At 35.9% G+C, this 9,480-nt stretch overlaps 1 annotated feature.

The window, feature by feature from the left end:
- Nucleotides 2,521–3,050: an enhancer, noted in NCBI's record as "NANOG hESC enhancer chr7:49546835-49547364 (GRCh37/hg19 assembly coordinates)". NCBI's record gives its function as "activates a minimal SCP1, AML or CMV promoter by ChIP-STARR-seq in naive H9 embryonic stem cells {active_cell/tissue: H9 hESC(naive)}" and the evidence as "EXISTENCE:reporter gene assay evidence [ECO:0000049][PMID:30033119]".

Consider the following 9,480-nt stretch of genomic DNA (forward strand, 5'->3'; position numbering starts at 1 on the left):
TATCTCTTTATAATTGTCATATTGAGAATATCTTATATGTTGAATTACATAGTAGCATAGTAGGTCATCTTTTGATGTTGGCTTTTCTCACCCAAAATAATGCCCTGGAGAGCCATAAAAGTTGTTGTGTATATCAATAGTTTGTTTTCCTGCTATTGAGTGGCATTTTGTTAAATGAAGGTGCCACAATTTGTTTACCCATTCAGCTGTTAAAACATAATTCAGATTATTTCCAATTTTTGACTATTCCAAGTGAATAGGATATAAACATTTGTATACAGGTTTTAAAGTAAATATAAGTTTTTATATCTCTAAGATAAATACCCAGGAGTGTGATCGCTGTGTCATTGGTAAGTTTAGCTTAATTTTGTTTTATTAAAAACCACCAAACTATTTCCTAATGTGTTTGTATCATTTTACATTTCTGTCAACAATGCATAAGAGGTCTGATTTCTCTGTAGTCTCCTTAGGATTTGGTACTCTTAGTTGTTTTTATTTTGTTTTGTTTTGTCATTCTAATAAGTGTACGGTGCTACCTGGTCATGATTCTAGTGCATTTCCCTAATGGCTAAAAATGTTAAACATTTTTTCATGTGCTCATTTGCTACCTATATATTTTCCTTGTTGTATTGTCACTTTGGTTTTTTGGCAATTTTTTAATTGGACTCTTTGTTTTCACTTTTGAGTTTAAAGTGGTCTTCATATTTACAGGAGTCCCTTATCTTATATGTGATATTCAAATAATCTATCCTAGTTTGAGACTTGCCTTTTCATTTTCATAATAGGATGTCTCAGAGAGCAAAAGTTTTACATTTTAATGCAGTCCAGTTTCTTATTTTCCTTTTAGGGGTTATGATATTTGGGTCATGTCTAGGAACTCTTCATCTACATTTAGGCCACAGATTTTTTTATATGCTCACTTGTAAAGATTTCACAGATTTTCATTGTAAGTGTATTCTTATCATCCATTTTTATTCATTTTTTAATGGTTCTCTTCACAGGTGATTTTTCTTTTTTATTTTTATGTGGTTTGCATTATATTTCTTTTTAAATTTTAATTTTAGGGTTGGGGGTGCATATGAAGGTTTGTTACATAGATAAACACATGTCACAGAGATTTGTTGTCCATTTTATTAGATCACCCAGGTATTAACTCAGTACCCAATGGTTATCTTTAAAAATTATATAGTCTGGTTTATTTATTTATTTTTATGTTTTATTTTTAATCAAGTAATTTTTTTAAACCTCAACATATCCATAATTGACAGAATAAGACATTAGGCATGAAATGAGAATATAAAACCCAGAGTGTACAGAAAGGCAAACAGTGCTTCAGTCCCTCCAGATGACTGTGCGCGAGTGAAATGCATTCCAAACAGCTACCCCTTTCTTGTCTTTTAAAAACATACAGTTCAAGTGTTTTTATTTTCACTTGTAAACAACATGAGTCAAAATGGACAATGAGGTAATCTAAATACTACACAGGATAATCTAAAAACACTAGATAAAACACCATTATTAAAGACATATAAAAATCAGGGTTCACTTTGGTCTCTAGTATGGTTAGAGTTGTTAATACCAAAAAGCAACACATACTAATTGAAGCTAGCTTGGTGGTAGGTGCCAGTGGTTGATAGATGTGATTCAAGAGGTAGTCAACACCATCATTTTCAAGCTGGTAACTCTCACAAGCGTTAAGCCACAGATGCATTAAATATCATAATACTTTCTCACAGTGCAGTACTTTACCATAACTTGCAGCTTTGTTCCAAATATAAAATTTAAAAATGAATCATAGGTCAACTTCTCACTCTAACTGAACAATTATGACACAGATCATACAACCACCACATCTTAAAGAGGCTGTTGACAGCTATGTAAGACAGAGTTTGATGCTTTTAACAAGATGTTCTTCTCTAAAACATATAAATCTCATTAAGACATCTAGAAAATTAAAGTCAGTGCAGCTGCACTTGTACATACTTTCCCAAATTTTATAACCAAAGGGGAAATACACATATACATTTTATGATAAACTTTTCTTAGAGAAAACAGATAAATTAATTTAAATTAACTTTAAGACTTAATGAGATTTCCCATGTCCTGTATAATTCATCTTATAGTGAATGTTACGAAGTCTATTAACACTTATGGGCTCCTATTCACAAACTAAATACAACCAGCAGTAACTTGGGGCTGCACTGGTGCAAAATAAAACTGAGCCAGAATAAAAAAAAAGGATCGGCAATATCGGAGGTGGACTGATGCTAATAACATGACATTTCTTGATCTTTTTTCTTACATTGCACGCTAAACTTCCAAGTTATAAGCAGGTAAAAATCTTTCTAAATCTTTCAACTGCAAAAATATATCCAAGGTCTTCTAGTGAAGACTAGAAATCCAAGTATAAACATGTTTTCATTATAGTCTGCCATGTAGCAAATGATTAGCTTACAAGGCTAAGAGACTGGCAATGCATCTTGTTTAGGAATTACATTTGTGTTGACATGAGGGTGAGGTCAAGAGATAACTTAATTCACAGACCTGCTGCCCCACCATTAGTAATCCCTGCAAAGTGATGCTTCACACAGACCCTTTTCCCTCAATAGCTAGTAATGGCATGGCATGTTCATTCCTTGGCAAGCCAGTGCTAGTTAGTTATGTGCCTGGGGCTATAATGCTGTAACACACTTGGCTTCAGGGCGGCACAGACAGTAAATGAAGGACATTAGCATCTTTTAAACCCTTTGCCTAGCACGAATACCTGCATACAACAACCCCTCTCCCTATTTATGTGTTTACTTTTCCTACTGCTATTCAATTGCTGCAATGAATTGCTATTGAAACTTTCTCTAAATTACTTGGCCATACTTCTTTGGATCTATTTCAAAACTTTCCATTCTGTTCCATTCATCTACATGTCCAGCCGTCTGCCGGTATCACGCTGACTTAATTACTATAGCTATGCAGTAAGTTTTGAAGTTGGGTACTGTGATTTTTTTCAAACTTAATTTTCATTTTTTCAAGATTGTGCTTGCTAATTGTCTTAGTCTGTTTTATGCTGCTGTAACAGAATACCATAAACAGGGAAATTTATAGTAAACAAAAATGTATTTGCTCAGAACTCTGGAGTCTGCGAAGTTCAAGGTTGAGAGACTGGCATCTGGTGAGGGTCTTCTTGCTGCATCATCGCATGGCAGAAGGGCAAGAAAGTGTGAGAGAAAGAAAGAGATTGAACTCACAGCCTCAAGCCCTTCTATAATTGGCATTAATATATTCATACAGGGCAGAGCGTTCATGACCTAAACACCTCCCATTAGGCCTCACCTCCCAACACTGTTGCATTGGGGATTAAATTTCCAAAATATGCTTTTTGGGAAACGAATTTGAACCATAGCACTAACCTAGATACTTTGCCTTTTCATATTCAGTATCATTAGTCATTAGGAAAATGTAAATTAAAACCAAATGAGACCAGTACACACATACTAGAATGGCTGCAATCAGACAGATCAGCAATACTAAGAATTGATAATTACGTGGAGAAACTTGAACTCTCCTACATTGCTGGCAGTAATGTATATGTTATTTCCACTATAGCAAACTATTTGGCAGATTTTTTAAGTTAAATATAATATATGACCCAGTAATTCCACTTCTATTTATTTATCCATGAAAAAAATGGAATCTGAACAATCTTTTTTTTTTTTTTGGGGGACAGAGTCTTGCTCTGTCACCCAGGCTGGAGTGCGGTGGCACGATCTTGGTTCACTGCAAGCTCTGCCTCCCGTGTTCACGCCATTCTCCTGCCTCAGCCTCCTGAGTAGCTGTGACTACAGGTGCCTGCCACCACGCCCAGCTAATTTTTTTGTATTTTTAGTAGAGACGGGGTTTCACCATGTTAGCCAGGATGGTCTGGATCTCCTGACCTTGTGATCCACCCACCTTGGCCTCCCAAAGTGCTGGGATTACAGGCGTGAGCCACAACGCCCACCCTACACAATCTTTTTTTGTGAATGTTCATGGCACTCAACATGTAGAAACAATCCAAATATCCATCACCTAGTGAGGAGATAAACAAATGTGGCATATGCACACAACGTATTGCTGTTCAACAATAGAAGAGTTGTTGTTACTGATACCTAACACAACATGGATGAACCTCAGAAACAGTGTGCCAAGTGAGAGAAGCCAAACACAAAAGGCCACATATTGTGTAATTCCATTTACAGAAAAGTGTCCAGGAAAAGACAAATCTACAAGATAAAAAATTTGGTTAATGGTTGTCTGAGTTCAGGTGTGGGTATAGATATATACTGAAAATAAAAGGGAAAGGGAACTTGGAGGAAAAATAGAACTTTTCTAAAACAGAATTATGGAAATGGTTGCACAACTATTGTATGAATTTACAAGTCATCAACCTGTCCACTTACAGTGGTTGAATCTTAATAGTATGTAAGTGATACCTCAATAAACCTCTAATAAAAATGCATCATCAATACCCTAAGCAAATAACCACAATTAAATTTATTTTCTCAGTTCACTGAGTTCTATGCAATTAATTGTTGTTTTGGTGAATGTGGAGTCAGCAGTCTTCTTTCATGAAGTACCTCTGTCACTAACTGGAAATCTAAACTAGTACATTCTGAAAAATTTCTAAGCAAATTAAGTTTAGACTTCTTTTCCCTCTGGTCTGTTCCTTGAAGTATCAATAGTTTAAGTCCCTGCAACAGCTGTTTCCATAGGGTCCTAAGCTGGCTTTTGTTTAAATCACAAATTCCAGCTTGCAGCACATAGTAGAGTCTTGGGGCAAGCATAAGAGGGAAACACAAACCTGTTTAGTAAGACTAAATAACTCTTGTCAGTTTATTATATTAATCGATAATATAACAGAAGAGAGTAAAACTATGTATGAAGTATAGTACATACGATATAGAATGATTTCACAAGGGTTTGATTAATGTTTCTGCTATAATAAGGCAGTTTTCTGAAAAGTAAGGGAACTGACAAATCCCTAGGGCCTTTATATAAAGTGCACAATCTTTTAAACAGCTAAGTAACTAAACAAACTTTGCAACTGTTTTTTTTTTTTTTTTTTTTTTTTCTTTTTGAGACGGAGTCTTGCTCTGTTGCCCAGGCTGGAGTGCAGTGGTGTGATCTTGGCTCACTGCAACTGTTTTTAAGACATTTGCTAGTATATTTTCAGACTCATATATTAAAAAACTATGCAAACAAAATTCATTTTCCTCAAACTTGCTGAACTTTCTCAAGCTGTCTTTCTCTACTGTTTTTTATATTCTGGAAAAAAATACCACTATTTTAGACAAACCTAAACATCCCCTTGTTTTTATTAAAAAACAAAAGCCTATTGATAATATTGGGTACAAAATTGTATTTCTCTGTCACAATTACTCTAGTTATCACCTATGAGCACACAATGTACAAACATGTAATTTGTGGCAATAACAGCATAAAGAAGGGTGGAAATGTATAGGAACAGTTTTCCATACTATTAAAACTAAGTTAATATTAATTGAAACTGGATTGTTATAAATTTAAGATGTTAATTGTAATCCCAAAGTAAACACCTATAAAATAAGTTTTTAAAAATACAGTAAAGGTAGTAAGAAGGGATTCAAAATGGTACACTTGAAAAAATTGTTGAACACAAAATAAGCAGTAAACAACTGAGAAACAAATATATACATACACATATATATACTATATGTATACACTATATATATACACACACTATATATACATATATATTTGCATGTGTGTATATATATATATATATATATATATATATATATATATATATATATAAAACAAATAGCAAAATTGCAGAAGGATGTCCCCCCTACCAATAATTAGATTAAATGTAATTTTAAGTCCCAAAGTAAAAGGCAAAGATGGGCAGAATGGATGGACAAATAGTACCCAACTTTGTACTGTCTGCAAGTCTGCAAGAAATTCCACAGATACAAGTAGATTGAAAGGAAGGGATAATATCTTAGTCCACTTTCCACTGCTATAACAGAATGCCACAGATTGGATAATTTGTGAAGAAAAGAGATTTATTTGGCTCATGGTTCTGGAGGCTTGGAAGACCATGATCAAAGGGTTGCATCTGGTGAGGGCTATCTTGCTGCATCATAACAGGGTAGAAGGGAATAATATGGTGAGGAAGTGATCACATGAGACAGAGAAAACTGGGCCAAACTCATCCTTTTTTAGTAGAAACCTACTTCCATGATAACTAATTCACACCCACAATAACAACCTTAATTCATTCATGAGGCTGGTGTCCTCATTACCTAATTACCTCATAAAGGGCCCACCTCTCAACACTATTACATTGAAGATTAGGTTTCCAATACACAATTTTCTGGGAGACACACTTAAACCATAGCAGATAGAAAAGTATATTCTATGCAAATAATAATCAAAAGAGACATGGAATGATTAATATCAGAAAAATATACACTTTATGTCAAAAATTGTTATGAGACAAAGAAAGATATTGAATATGAATAAAAATGGCCAATTCATTGAGAAAAGATGGTAATTATAAACACCATTGCATCTAACAACAGACTCTAAAATATATGAAGCAAAAATTGACAGATTTGAAGGCTAAAATAGGCAGCCCTACAATAATAGCAGGACATTTTAATATCCTGCTTTCGATAGTGGATATAACATCTAGAAATAAATCAGTAAAGTAATAGAGAACTTGAACAATACTATAAACCAATGAGCCCTAACATATAGGAGCCAACAGGAGTAGAGTACACATTTTCTCAAGCGCATACCTCAGACTTTTCAAAGTTGATATTTTTATCTAAAAGATCCTCTATGAGCTGAATATTACACCATTTAAATAAAAGAAAAAGAAGCCACTCTTAGTGCTGTTTCTTGTTCTGCCATGCCATCTCCTACTGAATATGGGAACTGGAAATACTGGACAACCTTCAGTTCTCAGAAAATTGTGGAAGTCATTTGGGGTGAATGCCACTTTTTATACTGGGATTTTGGCTAAATTCCATTGTGAGGCAGCTGGCCTGATCCTTAGATATGTGCTTGCTTATATCTGCAAATGGAATAAATGTTTTGTGCTAATTCCGGGTCATATCATTTATGGGCTGCTGAAGACTACAATTATGTTAAGTGGTATGACCAAATTTCCTCGGACCATAGATCATTTTTTTTGTTGTTGACTAAATATCTGCCTGAGAACTTGTATTTTAATCTCCTAGAAGATGACTACATAATACATAAAATTTATTCAGGATATACTTGGACAGTTAATTAGTTTCCTATTATTGTATAATAAATTACCAAAAATTTAGCAGCTAAAAACAACATATGTAGTTTCTGTGGGTCACAATTATGAGCACAGCTTAACTGAGTTCTAAGCTCAGGATCTCACAAGAATTCAAAGGGTGGTTCAGGCTGTGCTCCTTCTGTAGCTCTGGATTTCCTTCCAAGCTTACATGGTGTTGACAAAATTCAGTTCCCTGTGACAGTAGGACTGAAGCCTCCATTTATTGCTGTTGTCTAAGGACTACTTTCAGCTTTCATAGGATGCCCTCAGGTCCTTGCAACATTAGTTCTTATAAGCACTCTGAAAACAGGGAGCCTTATTTCTTCAAGGCCAGCAGGAGAACCCCTCACTATAATCTGCTAAGATGGAGTCTTAGTAATGTAACATAATCATGAGAGTAACTATCTCATCACCTTTACCACCTTCTACTGTCTTTTTTTTTTTTTTTTTTTTTTTTGAGACGGAGTCTCGCTCTGTCGCCCAGGCTGGAGTGCAGTGGCGGGATCTCGGCTCACTGCAAGCTCCGCCTCCCGGGTTCACGCCATTCTCCTGCCTCAGCCTCCCAAGTAGCTGGGACTACAGGCGCCCGCCACTACGCCCGGCTAATTTTTTTTTTTTTTGTATTTTTAGTAGAGACGGGGTTTCACCGTTTTAGCCGGGATGGTCTCGATCTCCTGACCTCGTGATCCGCCCGCCTCGGCCTCCCAAAGTGCTGGGATTACAGGTGTGAGCCACCGCGCCCTCTACTGTCTAAAAGCAAATTTCAGGCTCCATCCACACTCATGGGCAGGGTACTATGCAGAGGCATGACTCGCTAGGGGTCCTATCATAGAATCCTGTCTACCATAGGTACATGGATATAGGGCTCTTTCGGCAGATGATCAACCGCCATCCGTATGACGGCTTGGGGCCTGTAGGAAGTTTAGATATAAACATCATGATGAATCTTAGGTTCTGCTATCAAAGCCCATTCCTCCGCTCTTGCTGAAAAATTTGCCCTCCATGATTTGGTTCAGAGGTAACTTGTGCAGTGGTCTCTAACACCCAAGCAGACTTTAGTGAAGGAAGAAATGATCAAGACACATATGTTTCATCAATTGCTTCCTCAAAATTTTGTGTTTTCTTTCCTACACTTCCTAAGGTCAAAAGGGGAGATTTTTTACAACCTGCTTTTCCTATATGAGAGGAAAATTTTACTAAGTCATACCTTACCACTTCCTTGAATGGTTCTGCCCTTCTTTCTTCTCTGAAACTTATTATTAAATAGAGAGCAAGAAAGAAATAGCTTACCAGTAAGAGAACATTTGTAAATGCTATCATCTGCCCTTCAGTATTCATTTTTGCTTCATTATCTCCTACACTGGAGTTCTTGATGGTAACTGCTTTATCTTACAAAATCCTAGTAGTTTAGTTGTACTTTCCAGCATGAGTTGATCTTTCTAAACTTGCCCTCTTGGTCTTCTGAATTTCTATATCCAAAGATGTCTATGATTTGCCTTGATATTATACCAGGAAAGAATATGGGCTCTGTTGTCTCACAAACAAGATTTCAAAAGCTACCCCTGCACCATTTAGAAGCTGTATGACATCAAACAAGTTATTTAAATCTCTACCCCTTGGCTCCTCTGCTGTGAAATTGTTTGTAAATCTACATGTTATTTCAGTTTTAAGTGCTTAAAATCTTGTGTATTTTCCTAAGTTGTAGTGAAAAAATCAAGAGGAAACTCATGGCCCTTTAACAAATGCCATTTGAGACTAGAATACATCAGAGTGACTCTGAACATGATTGGTCCATTGATTGAGTTCAGAGGCTTTTAAATGACAGGCTATTTAATTCACTTGTATATATATCTCAACCCTTCCTCTGGACGGAACCTTCTCAACAATCCCATTGTGGTTTTCCTTTGTATTAATTACTCTATCTCACAAAGAGGTAGTACTGTTCAGCCAGTGGCAGCAGGGATCCATCATCGAAGGAGCAGGTTCATAATGACACTCTGGGGAATGTTCTATTGTTCAGGTCATCTAAGAGCATCCATTAGTAGCAATTTTCAGCCAGGATAAGACTAAACATTAATCCAAAATACGTCTTCTTGTCTTTCTGAGAACTGCACTACTCTTTTTTCACATAATAGCCTTAGTGTGTAATTATC

This window comes from Homo sapiens, chromosome 7 (genome assembly GCF_000001405.40).
Source record: "Homo sapiens chromosome 7, GRCh38.p14 Primary Assembly".
Taxonomy (NCBI): domain Eukaryota; kingdom Metazoa; phylum Chordata; class Mammalia; order Primates; family Hominidae; genus Homo; species Homo sapiens.